The sequence below is a fragment of the Homo sapiens genome, chromosome 15 (assembly GCF_000001405.40).
Source record: "Homo sapiens chromosome 15, GRCh38.p14 Primary Assembly".
NCBI lineage: Eukaryota > Metazoa > Chordata > Mammalia > Primates > Hominidae > Homo > Homo sapiens.
In genome coordinates this window covers 84,699,824-84,714,984 of record NC_000015.10, presented here as the reverse complement: position 1 = coordinate 84,714,984, position 15,161 = coordinate 84,699,824, and the positions used below count along the sequence as shown (strand labels likewise).

The 15,161-nt window shown below is 42.8% G+C and overlaps 1 protein-coding gene across 7 annotated transcripts in view; it reads left to right on the top strand.

Moving 5' to 3' along the window:
• SEC11A (SEC11 homolog A, signal peptidase complex subunit) overlaps positions 1-15,161 on the top strand; it is a 46,596-nt gene that overhangs the window by 1,155 nt on the left and 30,280 nt on the right. Inside the window, exon 2 of one of the 7 annotated variants that reach the window (NM_001271918.2) lies at positions 119-254. The exons of the other annotated variants lie outside the window; for them this stretch is intronic. The gene's annotated coding sequence lies outside the window, so the exon portion shown is untranslated. The remainder of the gene's footprint in view (positions 1-118; positions 255-15,161) is intronic. 7 annotated transcript variants of the gene reach the window in all.

Here is a 15,161-nt window from a genome sequence, read left to right as displayed (position 1 = left end):
ATTTTTACTTGTATAGTGTTGTCTTTTTTTAATCCATATTTGGATTTCTAGATGCCACAGATATTTCTCTGAGGAAAGTATTTATTTTGAGTCTGATATTTATTGTACTCTATGCTAGGTACAATGAGAGAAATGCAAAGATAGTTAAGAAAGACTCGGCCTTCAAGGAGCCTAAATGTGTAGAAAAGGACTAAGGCAAAACAATAACTTTTTTGAGCTCTTGCCATGTGTGAAGCACTTTATACACCTGTAAGGTAGGTAACGTTGTTCTTATTAAACATGAAGAAAATGAGACTTTGTGAGAAGCAATACAGTATAGAAGTTAAGAATATGGACTCTAAAGCTAGATTTCAGAGGTTTGAAGTAGCTCTGCTACTTACTGGCTGTGTGACTTTGAGCAGATTACTTAACCTGTCTGTGCCTATGTTTACTTTTATTGTTGTAAAAAGATATGCAACATAAAATATTCCATTTCAACCGTTTTTACGTGTATACTTCACTGACATTAGTTGCATTCACTATGTTGTGCAAACGTAGGGTCGCTATGAAGATTAAATGAGTTAATTCATATAAAGCCCTCAGAAGAGTGTCTGGCACATGGTGAGTATTGGCTGTACTGTGGTCGATGTCATTGTTAGAGAGCTTTAGTGATTTGCTTAAGACAGAAGGTAGACTGGGTGCGGTGGCTCACGCCTGTAATCCCAGCACTTTGGGAGGCTGAGGCAGGCGGATCACAATGTCAAGAGATTGAGACCATCCTGGCCAACATGGTGAAACCCCCTCTCTACTAAAAATACAGATACTAGCTGGGCCTGTTGGCGCACGCCTGTAGTTCCAGCTACTCAGGAGGCTGAGGCAGGGGAATCGCCTGGGAGGTGGAGATTGCAGTGAGCTGAGATCGTGCCACCGCACTCCAGCCTGGTGACAGAGTGAGACTCCGTCTCAAAAAAAAAAAAAAAAAAAAAAGAAGGTATATGGCAGGATGTGGATTTGATCTCAGGTCTTACTTTAAAGCCTGAACACTTGGATAAAGAAGGATATGACCTGTTCTAGCAGTGGTAGGAAAATTTTGAGAGGTTCCAGTCAGGGCATTACGAACAGCTTCAAGGAGAAACTAGCATTTAAGTTGGATCTTGAAAGACCTTAATAGCTTCATCTTTAACCTGGGTTGGTTAGCATTCCAATAATCAAAAGGGAAGGAATTCACTCAGCACTTGCAAACCTGCTAGATAGGCTCTAAAGCATAGAGATATATAAGGTACTCTTCCTGCTCTAATAAAATGGACAGGAAGAAAGAACAGAAACATGAAGATACAATGAATAGGCTACTCTGCCCTGTGTTTCTCTAATATGGAGTGATTGTGGTTCAGAATTCATTGCATCTAGGACATTCAGGGTTAGTGGAAGTTTAAATGGTAAAATTATCCTCCCTGGCCTCCCAGAGGTTGTTAGGAATGGATAGGAGGGATTGGATAACATGGGGTGAGGGAGAGTTATGAAATGAGATCTTTATCTGTACATAATATCTAGGAGGAAGAATTGACAATACATGTAGATACTGAGAATCAGACGAAAGAGGGAAACTAGAATTTTGTTTTATTCCTCTAAAAGTTGCTATTATTTGCATAACTTCTCTGCTTATACCTAATTACATATTACATATATGTTAAATGTCTGATTGCTTTGAGTTTTTGTTTTTTTTTTCTTATCAGATCCACAGAGGAATACTTTAGTAAATGAACTCCATCCATTTAAAGTGTACCATTTGATAAGTGTTTTTTTTTTTTTTTTGAGACGGAGTCTCACTCTGTTGCCCAGGCTGGAGTGCAGTAGTGCAATCTTGACTCACTGCAAGCTCCACCTCCCAGGTTCACGCCATTCTCCTGCCTCAGCCTCCCAAGTAGCTGGGACTACAGGCACCCGCCACCACACCCGGCTAATTTTTTGTATTTTTAGTAGAGACAGGGTTTCACCATGGTCTTGATCTCCTGACCTTGTGATCCGCCTGCCTCGGCCTTCCAAAATGCTAGGATTACAGGCGTGAGCCACTGCTCCCGGCCGGCCGATAAGTTTTTATACTTACGTATACTGATCACAATCAAGATATAGAACGTATATATCACCTACAAGACCCGTTCTGTCCCACCTCTAATGTGCTTTTTGTCAGTATAGAGGGGTATGCATTTTATATAAATGGAATCATAGAGTATGTATTCTTTGGAGTTTTAATCAGTTTTTAGGCTGGACGCAGTGGCTCATGCCTGTAATCCAGCACTTTGGGAGGCCGAGCAGGTGGATTGCCTGAGCTCAGGAGTTCAAGACCAGCCTGGCCAACATGGTGAAACCCTGTCTCTACTAAAAATACAAAAATTAGCCGAGCATGGTGGTGCGCACCTGTAATCCCAGCTACTCAGGAGGCTGAGGCAGGAGAATTGCTTCAACCTGGGAGGCAGAGGTTGCAGTGAGCCCAGATCGCACCACTGCACTCCAGCCTGGGCGACAGAGCAAGGCTCTATCTCAAAAAAAAAAAAAAAAGAAAAAAAAGAAAAGAGTATGTTTCAGTTTTGTAAGAAACCATAAAACACTTTCAGAATGGCTGTACTGTTTTGCCTTTCACCAGCAATGAATGAGAGTTCCTGTTGCTCCACATCCTCCCCAGTATTTCATGTTGTCAGTGTACTGGATTCTGGGCTTTGTAATAGAGGTAGAGGTATGTTGGGTTTCTTAGAATTTTTTTTTTTTTAAGACAAGGTCTCTCTCTGTTGCCCAGGCTGGAGTGCAGTAGCATAATCACAGCTTACTGCAGCCTTGAACTCCTGGGGCTCAGGCAATCCTCCCACCTTAGCCTCCTGAGTAGTTGGGACTATGGATGTGTGCCACCATGCCTGGCTAATTTTTGTATTTTTTGTAGAGATGGAGTCTCGCTATTCTGCCCAAGCTGGTCTCAAATTCCTGGGCTCGAGTGATCCTCCCACCTCGGATCCTCAAACTGCTGGAATTACAGATGTGAGCCACCACACCCAGCCAAGTTGTTTAAATTAATTGATTTTTAACAGTGCTGCTTGTATTCTTTCTTAGTCTCTGGGTACCACCCTAGAATATTAGGTGATCTTTAAGGTCCTTTTAGCTAATAGTCATATACTATTTTATTTGTATTCTTACCTTTGTTTGGAGTACGGCTTCTTTTTTTTTTTTTTTTTTTTGAGATAGAGTCTCGCTCTATTCTGTCACCCAGGCTGGAATGCAGTGACGTGATCTCGGCTCACCGCAACCAAGTAGCTGGGATTACAGGTGTGCGCCACCACGTCTGGCTAATTTTTGTATTTTTAGTAGAGATGGGGGTTTCACCATGTTGGCCAGGCTTGTCTTGAACTCCTGACCTCAAGTGATCTGATCGCCTCAGGCTGCTAAAGTGCTGGGGTTACAGGCATGAGCCACTGTGCCTGGCCTTTAATATAATTTATTATTCTAGTTTTTTAACAGCACTGTGTTTAACAACCAGCTTGCAGAATTGCTGAAAATTTAGGAAGCTTGTTCCAGCACACCACTGATTAGTATGAGAGGTTTGTTTTTTTTTTTAATTTTTGTTTGTTTGTTTGTTTTGAGACAGGGTCTCACTCTGTTGACCAGGCTGGAGTACAGCGGCAGGATCTTGGCTCCCTGCAACCTCCTCCTTCCGGGATCAAGTGATTCTCCCACCTCAGCCTCTGGAGTAGCTGGGACTACGGGCCAGTGACACCACACCTGGCTAATTTTTGTGTTTTTTGTAGAGTCTGGGTTTCACCAGGTTGCCCAGGCTGGTTGTGAACCCCTGAGCTCAGCCATCTGCCCACCTCAGCCTCCCAAAGAGCTGGGATTGAATATAGGTGTGAGTCACTGCGCCCAGCCTTAATATGAGCATTTTTTTTTTTTTTTGAGATGGAGTCTTGCTCTGTTTTGCAGGCTAGAGTGCAATGGCTCGACCTCGGCTCACTAGAACCTCCGCCCCCCGGGTTCAAGCGATTCTCCTGCCTCAGCTTCCCAAGTAGCTGGGACTATAGGTGCGTGTGATCACACGCTAATTTTTTGTATTTTTAGTAGAGACGGGGTTTCACTGTGTTAGCCAGGATGGTCTTGATCTCCTGACCTCGTGATCTGCCCACCTCGGCCTCCCAAAGATATGTGTGTTTTTCAATGCACATTGAGGTGGTTTTTGTGTGCAGAAAAACCTATTTAGAGTTATCTTTAGTTCTAATAATTATAAAACCTAAAATTTTAAAACTAAATTCTTTCTTAAACTTGTAGAATTTGTTTACAAATCTTATCCTATTTAAAGTGTAGCAAATTTTAACAATCACTTTTTTATTTGAGACAGAATCTTGCTCTGTCGCCCAGGCTGGAGTGTGGTGGCACCATCTAGGCTCAACTGCAACCTCTGCCTCCTAGGTTCACACAATTCCCCTGCCACAGCCTCCAGAGTAGCTGGGATTATAGGCGTGCACCACCACTCCCGGCTAATTTTTGTATTTTTTTTAGTAGAGACGAGGTTTCACCATGTTGACCAGGCTGGTCTCGAACTCCTGACCTCAAGTGATCCGCCTGCCTTGGCCTCCCAAAGTGTTGGGATTACAGGTGTGAGCCACTGCACTCAGCCAACAATCACCTTTAAGAGCCTATGTTTGGTTTAATTTCAAAGTTAAACATCTTAAAATAATTAAACTTTATAAATTAAAAAAATATTTTAAAGAACTTTGATTATTCAACAAACATGGACTACTTATATAATTTTTATAGATCTGAGACTTCTTAAGTTCTCTTAAAATGTTTCAGCACTGTATATAAATAGGAAACTTTCTGATTCACATAATCTAAAACAACTGATTACACATTTTAAACTGAATTTTTAAGGCTGACTTATTACTTCACTAGGCCAAATTCTCTTAAATTTTACAAAAGTTAAAATACCAAATATAGCTGGGTGCAGTGGCTCACGCCTGTAATGGTGGAGGCCGAGATGGATGAATCGCTTGAGCCCAGGAGTTTGAGACCAGTCTGGGCAACATAGCGAAACCCCATTTCTACTAAAAATACAAAAATTAGCCAGGTGTGGTGGCACACGCCTGTAATCCCAGCTACTCAGGTGGCTGAGGCACAAGAATCACTTGAACCTGGAAGGCGGAGGTTGCAGTGAATCAAGATTGTGCCACTGCACTCCAGCCTGGGTGACAGTGTGAGACCCTGTCTCAAAAAAATGAACAGAAGAGGCCAGGTGCAGTGGCTCACGCTTGTAATCCCAGCACTTTGGGAGGCTGAGGCCGGCAGATCACTTGAGGTCAGGAGTTCGAAACCAGCCTGGCCAACGTAGTGAAGCCCCGTCTCTACTAAAAATAAAAAAATTAGTGGGGTGTGGTGGTGTGCACCTGTAATCCCAGCTACTTGGGAGGCTGAGGCAGAAGAATCGCTTGAACCCAGGAGACGGTGGTCGTAGTGAGCCAAGATCACACCACTGCACTCCAGTCTGGGTGACAGAGCGAGACTCCATCTCAAAAAACAAAACAATACCAAAAACAAAAACAAATACAAACAGAGTTCTTAACATAAGAATATTAACACTATGCACGCTTTCCCTTAAACATTCTATTTTTAATTATAAATCATTCTGGGGATAAAAATGATAGCTAGGTGCGGTGGTGCACCTGTAGTACCAGCTGCTCAGGGAGGCTGAGGCAGGATGATTGCTTGAGCCCAAGGAGTTCAAGTCTAGCCTGGTCAACATAGTGAGGCCCCATCTCTTAAAACAAAAAAAAAAGATATTTACTCACTAATAAAATAAGTATGTTATGCCAAATTATTTTTATGTTACATGTATGTCACATGTAATTTTTAGAATTGACTTCTCTGCTTGCTGAGATTTTTTTTATTGGCCAGGATGTGACTAGATCCCTGTCTGAGCCCTGAAGGGACTAAGCAGACTCCCATAAATGTGTGCTTAGCTCCCCGCAGGCCACTTATATTGCTTGATTGAATTTGCATTTCTCTGGGTTTTAATTATCTGTATGCCTTCCTGCCTAAATGTAAAGTCCTTGAGACTTAATAGGATCCTTCATTCTTTTTATATCTTCCTATCTCTTAGTATCACCCAACTCTTAACTGTTATTGCAGTGATATCTTAACGATTTCTAGATAGCTTTTTCTTTTCTTTTCATTTTTTTTTTCCTGAGATAAGGTCTCGCTCTGTCACCTAGGCTGGAGTCCAGTGATGCGATTACAGCTCACTGCAGTCTCAACCTCCTGGGTCCAAGCTATCCCCCCACCTCAGCCTCCCAAGTAGCTGGGACTACAGGTGTACACCAGGTACCATAGTGAGACTCCATTTCATACCTGGTTAATTTTTGTATTTTTTGTAGAGTTGAGATTTCGCCCTGTTGCCTAGGTATCTTTGATACTTTTTTTTTTAAACGAGTTGTCGCTCTAGTGAAACATACAGAAACCTAGGAAATTTTTCTTAGATATAGACCTAATAGGAATAAATGTGAAGCAAATAGGAGGTGTATCCAACACAGAGGATAAAGCCACTACTTTTTTTGATTATGGAAAAGTAATCTGGTCTTATTTAGGTTCAGGAAAATCTTTATTACTGGCAGGGTATCAACATTTATTAATGAATTGCCAAGTTTCAATGTAGAAATATTGATATCAGTCCCCATTACATACACAAGAACATCACAAGTAAAATTTTATTGTAAACTGCAATTAACATCAACAGGTATATTCTTTTTTTTTTTTTTTTTTTTTTTTTTGAGACAGAGCCTCACTCTGTCACCCAGGCTGAAGTGCAGTGGTGCCATCTCACTGCAACCTCTGCCTCCTGGGTTCAAGCAATTATCTTGCCTCAGTCTCCTGATTAACTGGGATTACAGGCGTGTGCCACCACGCCTGGCTAATTTTTTGTATTTTTTTAGTAAAGACGGGGTTTCACCATGTTGGCCAGGCTGGTCTTGAACTCCTGACCTCAAGTGATTCACCAGCCTTGGCCTCCCAAAGTGCTGGGATTACAGATGTGAGCCACTATGCCCGGCTGGTATATTCTTTTGAACAGCCAGAAATTATTCTTTATTCCATGTAACTGAGCAAAATCCAGAATATAGTACCATAGTAACAAAGATATTTTCTTGCTACCATTCCTTGATATTTTACATCTGTTATTTTTTTTATAACATTCTCTCCACAAATGACGTAAAGACAAGGATGATTATTCTTTTCCACAGCCAGATGGCACAAGCCTATAACAGTAAAGATGAGCTCCCCTTAGGAGAAACTGTGGTTTTAACTCTTCTTCAGAAGGGTTATCTTTTCTGCTCAAGGAAGAAAGTGAGCTGTAGAATCCAAACACTTAAGGTGTCTACTCCTTAACTGGAAAATTTTGTCCAAAAAACATGGTTTATCAGCCAGGGTTTAGTCTGGGAAGAAGAACTACTATGAATATTATTGAATAATGGATTTATTATAGTAATAAAACCTCAGCCGGGCACGGTGGTTCACGCCTATAATCCCAGCACTTTGGGAGGCCGAGGTGGGTGGATCATGAGGCCAAGAGATCGAGACCATCCTGGCCAACATGGTGAAACCCTTTCTCTACTAAAAATACAAAAATTAGCTGAGCCTGGTGGCGCATGCCTGTAGTCCCAGCTACTCGGGAGGCTGAGGCAGGAGAATTGCTTGAACCTGGGAGGCAGAGGTCACAGTGAGCCGAGATTGCGCCACTGCACTCCAGGCTGGCGACAGAGCAAGACTCCATCTCAAAAAAAAAAAAAAAAAAAAAAAGTCTCACACAATTGTAGGAGAAGCTGGATAAGTAAGAGTCTAAAAGTGGGTTAGAGACCCAGAGGAATGTCACTAAGCAGCTCTTCTGAAGCACTGGTTTGGGTGGACAGATCTAAGCTTGCCATGGAGTGTGGGACAGGATTCCACATCCAGCTGCTGGAGTGAGACTGCAAAGGAGAGCAGATGGAAGGATCCGCGGGAGGCCACTGACTGTCTGTCTAGTCTCTGAGTCAGCCAGAAGAGCTGAATTCTGCTAGCCTGTCAGTGTCTGTCTTACCATCTCTAACTACAGTGACCTTCTGCGTAATTGCAGCTACTGCACTTTCACCTTCCAAATCTTGGGCAGATTTCTTTTTGGCTAACTCTAACCCAGAACCATACAGGGAAGGGCATTTGGGGAAACCTACTTCTAGCTTAACCAAGTTGATAAAGTACAAAACTGTTAGATTCTACCCTTTGTCAACTTGGCATCTATACACACCTGTTTTTATCATGTTAGCTTTCGAATAAAGATAAAACAAAAGTTACGTTTCTGTTATAACTATCCTTTGTTTCTGTAATTGGTCACATGATCATAGCTGTTTTCTTTCTCTGCTCTCAGCAAGAACCTAAATTGGTCATAATTTCTTGCCTGATGGGGTGACCTACCCTTCTTTATTGAAGGGTTGTCATAAGAAGTCCTACCTGAATTGGGTTGTTGGAGTTTTCACTGACTTTTAGATGGGAGTACTGAGGGGCCCCAGAGATCCCCTATATTCCAGTTATATTTGCTTCCCTCATGGTGTAGTAGCAACCCTATTTCTCTCTGATGGTCAGGATCAATCACCCTAGCCAATTATAACCCTGCTGCATTTTGGTTCTCTAGAATGAGGAGCCCGAAGTGACCAAGTAGCAGTCTTAACATTCAGTTTAATGGAACCATTATGTCCCTTAATGGATGGATTAAAACCTTTGTGAATTAAAACCTTTAAATCAGGCCAGGTATGGTGGCTCATGCCTGTAATCCTAGTACTTTGGGAGGCTGAGGCAGGTGGATCACCTGAGGTCAGGAGTTCGAGACCAGCCTAGCCAACAAGGTGAAACCCCGTCTCCACTAAAAATAAAAAAATTTTTGGACATTGTGGCGGGCACCTGTATTCCCAGCTACTCAGTAGAGGCAGGAGAATCGCATGAACCCAGGAAGCAGAGGTTGCAGTGAGCTGAGATCGTGCCACTGCACTCCAGCCTGGGTGACAAGAGCAAGACTCCATCTCAAAATAAATAAATAAATAAAACCTTTAAATCAGCAGATTTAAAAGTTGTAAGGATGGGAAGCATAATTTTTTTTTTGATGGAATCTCGCTCTCTTGCCCAGGCTGGAGTGCAGTGGTGCGATCTCGGCTCACTGCAACTTCTGCCTCCTGGGTTCAAGCGGTTCTCCTGCCTCAGTCTCCTGAGTAGCTGGGACTACAGATGCACACCACCACGCCTGGCTAATTTTTGTATTTTTAGTAGAGGCGGGGTTTCACCATGTTGACCAGGCTAGTCTCGAACTCATGACCTCAGGTAATCCACCTGCCTCGGCCTCCCAAAGTGCTGGGATTACAGGTGTGAGCCACTGCGCCTGGTCTGGAAGCAGAAATTTCGCTACCAGATCATTAGGGGTAATAATGAGAGGAGTCACACCCATTCCTATCCTTTAATTCCTGGACTAGTGAATCCTAGCTATAGAAAAAACAGCACCAAATGTTGGTTGTCAGTTCAGATCATATACAACATACTGGAGAACATTAGACATTACCCCAGCCCCACAAAGTGTTGCCACCTAGCTGGTGCCATAACTGCATTCTGAAAAGGCCATTTCTGTCACGCAGAAGACAGTAACTGTAGCAGTAATTGAACAGGGAAAATCTAATATAAGTAACTGTTAACTACTAAAAGATGCTAAACTACTAAAAAGGGATAAAAGAGGACTCTTGGCTGGGCTCAGTGGCTCAGGCCTATAATCCCAGCACTTTGGGAAGCCTGGACAGGAGGATCACTTGAGGCCAGGAGTTCAAGACCAGCCTGGGCAATATAGTGAGACCCCGTCTCTACAAGAAATTAAAGTATTAGCCAGGCGTGGTGGTACTCACCTGTAGTCCTAGCTACTCGGTAGGCTGAGGTGGGAGAATCACTTGAGCCCAGAAGTTTGAGCCTGCAGTGAGCTATGATCATACTACTGTACTCCAGCCTGGGCAACAGAATGAGACCCTTTCTCTTTAAAAAGAGAAAAAAAAAAAGACTCCAGAAGTAGCATATGCAGAAAACAGCTACTATCCTCCAGGATGAGGAAGAGTGAACAAAGAAAGAACTAAGAAAGCACCTTACCCCAAACCCCTCCCAAGCCTGAGATTCAGACCTTTTGGTGAGGGTTTGGCTGCCACAGGAACATGCAACCTATCATGGCAATACCATTTGCCAGAGTACTGACCTGGAGCTGGTTTATAGTCGTGAATTACTGGAAGGTTAAGAAATTTGGCAGAGAGTGAGTGTGGGCTGGAGTCAACCTTGATGGTCCCTGAGGTGAGCACTATCAGGCTTCCAACACACAGACCCACTGGGTATCAGGTGGAATAAAATCATGTTGAAACCAGGAAGGGAAGCCCTCTGTTGCTTTGCAGTGGTCTTTCAATACCCTTTATTAATTAAACCTAACATTAAGCTAGCTGGCGGAGGATTTGTGTTTATAGGATTCAGCTTGAGTAACACAAGGAAGGAGGGTGGATTTGGAGTTGAGAGACAATAAATCGAAAACTGGCCTACTATTCTATTATTTCAGGCCAGCTACTTCAAGGTGATGAGGGACATAGTAAGACTAGTGAATTCCATGACTGCTTGTCCACTGCTGTGTTTTAGTTGCTATAAAGTAAGTCCCCCTGTCAGAAGCAATGTTGTATGGGATACCACAATGAGGAATAAGGCATTCTGTAAGATCATGGATGGTGCTTTTTGACAGAAATACTAAGGACAAGGAAGACCAATCTATATCCGGAGTTTACTCTAGCAAGAAGAAATTGCTGTTCCTTTCATGATTGAAATGATCCAGTATGATCAGCGTGCCATCAGGATTGGTGGCAGTGTTGGTTTTTTGCGGTTGGCAGGGTAGTCACTCAGTGTTGGCTAGAACCTAATAGGTCTTGGTGAGTGGAAGTCCATGTTGCTAACCTTTATCTTGGCTGCTGCAGCCACTTTGGTCATGAGTCCGTTGGGTAAGACAGGTGGCTGGGGAAATAGGCTGACTGACATCCACAGAAGAAGTCATTTTTGTTCACCTGATTATTAAGAGCTTCTGCTGAGGTAATTCTGTGATGAGCACTTATATGGCACACAATTATCTTCATATTCTATATACGTATTTGGAGTGCTCCATCCACATATCTCTTCCTCAGACTTCTTGTCTCAACTTTCCAGTGATGTCCCCTCCAAGTCGCTGTCCATCCAGCCAAACTGCTAGTCATTTTTGAATCAATGTAAATCTACATCTGTAGTCATCTCTCCATCCAGGCAAAATGAACAACTGCTGTATCGCTTGAAGCTGCCCATTGGGAGGATTTCTCTTCCTCACAATCCTTCATGATCAACCCTGCATGAGATTGTAATGCTATAGCTGTCTGCTTTCAGTTAGTGCTAGAGGGTTTATGTTGAACCATCACAAATCAGGCCTAAAGTGTTCCTTAGTCAGCTGTCAGAGGGAGCTCCTCATGAGGCAGTAAATGCAAGATGAGAGAGGAAGCAGGGTAGCATCGTTAGGAGCCATGGGTATCTGAGTCACTTGCTCATATTTACTTGTGTCTTCAAGACATGCTTGAGCCCAGTCTTCTGTATACCACTTACACTTAATGATGGAGTACTTACTGCTGTGCATGCCCTATTTTTTGGCTTGGTGAATCTGACAGCGTCCAGGCATCCGGTGCATGTCAGGGAGTTCAGGTCACATGGTAACTTGGCCCATGGTCAAGTTGTTAGTCTCTACAAGAACTCAGTAGCAAACAAAAAGCTGTTACTCAAGAGGAGAATAATTCTCCAAAGGACAGTATAGCTTTGTCCCCAATCCCAAAGGTCTTGCCTGTCATTTACTTATAAAGGACTGCTGATGGCTCCATATAGCATCCCTATCCATTACAGACACACCAGTCATCATGAAATCTTCTGAGTCACGTGGGTACTACTGTAATCCCAGGTACTAGTACAGCTTTCAAAGCTTGGACCTGTTGCGGAACCTTACTTAAAACTGGCTTAAAATGGGCTTACTAAATAAATAGAGTAAGTTGGGGAGTATTCACTTTTCTGCAATTTTCTGGAAGAGTTAGTGTGTAGAATTGTTAGAATTGTTTTCCTTAAATGTCTGGTGGAATTTGCCAGTGAATACCATCTGAGCCTGGAGTTTTCTTTGTGGGAAGATTTTAAATCCATAAATTCAAATTATATGTAGGTCTATTCAGGTTGTCTATTTCTTCTTGAGTGAATTTTGGTAGTTGGTATCAAGGAATTGACTTACTTCATCAAAGTTGTCTAATATGTAAAGTTGTGTAATATATTGGTATAAATATATTTATAAACTGGGCACTGTTGCTTGTGTCTATAATCTCAGCTGCTCAGGAGGCTGAGGCAGGACGATTGTTGAGCCCAGGAGTTTGAAACCAGCCTGGGCAACATAGCAAGACCTCATCTCTAAAATTTTTTTTTTTTTTTTTGAGACGGAGTTTCGCTTTTGCTGCCCAGGCTGGAGTGCAGTGGTGCATGCGATCTTGGCTCACTGTTGCAGTGAGCCTCCCGGGTTCAAGTGATTCTCCTGCCTCAGCCTCCCGAGTAGCTGGGATTACGGGTGCCCGCCACCACGCCCAGCTAATTTTTGTATTTTTAGTAGAGATGGGGTTTCACCATGTTGGCCAGGCTGGTCTCAAACTCCTGATCTCAGGTGATCCGCCTACCTCGGCCTCCCAAAGTGCTGGGATTACAGGTGTGAGCCACTGCGCCCAGCCAAAAATTTTTGAAAAAATTAGCCGGGTTATTAGTTGCAGAAATGTTTAGAATTTTTACATTCTCATGATGAACTTACCTCCCTATTATTATTATTATTATTATCATTGTTATTGAGACAGACTCTCGCTGTGTCTCCAGGCTGGAGTGCAGTGGCACGATCTCGGTTCACTGCCACCTCCGCCTCCCGGGTTCAAGCAATTCTCCTGCCTCAGCCTCCCAAGTAGCTGGGACTACAGCCGCACGCCACCACACCCAGCTAATTTGTGTATTTTTAGTGAAGATGGGGTTTCACCATGTTGGCCAGGATGGTCTCGATCTCTTGACCTGTGATCCGCCCACCTTGGCCTCCCAATGTGCTGGGATTACAGGTGTGAGCCACTGTGCCCGGCCAAAATCTACTTTGTATGATATTAATGCAACCACTCCAGCTTGCTTTTTTTTTCTTCAATTTTCTTTTGATTAATGTAAGCATGATATGTGTTTTTCTCTTTTTTTCTTTCACAATATTTGTGTCTTTATATTTAAAGTGCATTTTTTGTAGGCAGCATATAATTGAACGTTGTTTTATTTATCCAAGTGGACAATATTTAACTTCTAAGTATAGTATTTAGATCATTTACATTTTTTTTTCTTGAAACGGAGTCTTGCTTTGTTGCCCAGGCTGGAGTGCAGTGGCATGATCTCAATAAGTATAAAATATAAGTATCTATTATGCCTGTAATCCCAGCTACTTGGGAGGCTGAGGCAGGAGAATTGCTTGAACCCGGGAGGTGGAGGTTGCAGTGAGCTGGGATCATGCCATTGCACTCCACCCTAGGCAACAAGAGCAAAACTCCATCTCAAAAAAAAAATTATTATTATTATTGTTATTGAGATGGAGTCTTGCTATGTTGCCCAGGCTGGTCTCAAACTCATAGGCTCAAGTGATCCTCCCACTACAGCCTCTTGCTGAGTAGCTGGGACTATAAGTGCATGCCACCATGCCTGGCTCAGTCTTTTTTTTTTTTTTTTTCCTATTTGCTTTTTCATTTGAGATAATTTCTATTGTTATGACTTCAAGTTTGCTAAACTTTTCTTCTGAGGTGCCTAGTCAGCTGTTATTTTCACCTGTCTGCTGTTTATTTCAGACATTGTTATTTTTTGTCTCTAGAAGTTTGATTTAGGTCTTGGATTTTTTTTTTTTTTTTTTTTTTGATATGGAGTTTCGCTCTTGTTGCCCAGGTAGGAGTACATGCAATGGCGTGATGTCGGCTTACTGCAACCTCTGCCTTCCGGGTTCAAGTGACTCTGCTACCTCAGCCTCCCTAGTAGCTGGGATTACAGGCATGCGCCACCACGCCTGGCTAATTTTGTATTTTTAGTAGAGACAGAGTTTCTCCATGTTGGTCAGGCTGGTCTCAAATTCCCAACCTCAGGTTATCTGCCTGCCTCGGCTTCCCAAAGTGCTGGGATTACAGGTGTGAGCCACCGCGCCTGGCCTCTGGATATTTTTTCTATCATCCACATCTCTACTTAATGTGCTAACTTTTCCCCTACCTTTTTTTTTTTTTTTTTTTTTTTTTTTTTTTTTTTTTTTTTTTTTTTGAGACAGAGTCTTCCTCTGTCACCCAGGCTCGAATGCAGTGGTGTGATCTCGGCTCACTGCAACCTCCACCTCCTGGGTTCAAGCAATTCTCCTGCCTCAGCCTCCTGATTAGCTAGGACTACAGGCATGCGCCACCATGCCCGGCTAATTTTTGTATTTTTAGTAGAGATGGGATTTTACCATGTTGGCCAGGCCAGTCTAGAACTCCTGACCATGTGATCTGCCCGCCTTGGCCTCCTAAAGTTCTGGGATTACAGGCATAAGCCACCTCGCCCAGCAAATATCCCTTTCTACTAATCCTATAATTTCTGCCATTTCTGGGTCTGTTTCTGTTTATTGATTTTTCTCATTATAGGTCATATTTTCTTGCCTCTTTGCATGTCTGGTAGTTTTTTATTGGTTGCCAGACTTTGTGAATTTTACCTTTTTGGGTGCTGGATATGTTTGGATTTGCATAAATATTCTTGAGCTTTATTCTGGGTTACAGGCAAGTTAGTTGGAAACAGTTTGGTCTTCTCAAGCTCTTGTGAAGCTTTGTTAGATGGATCCAGAGCGGCCTTTAGTCTGTGGCTAATTTTGCACTACAAGTGAGTAATACCTTTCTGAGTACTCTAATCCAAAGCCCCGTGAAGATTTCCACTCTGTCTGGTGGAAACAAACTATTCTTACGCCATAAGAGCTGTGAGAATTGTTCCATCCGCTGCTTTTAGATGGTTGTTTTTCCATCCTCAGGAGTCCCCTCACATGCATGCACTGATCATTGCTTTTG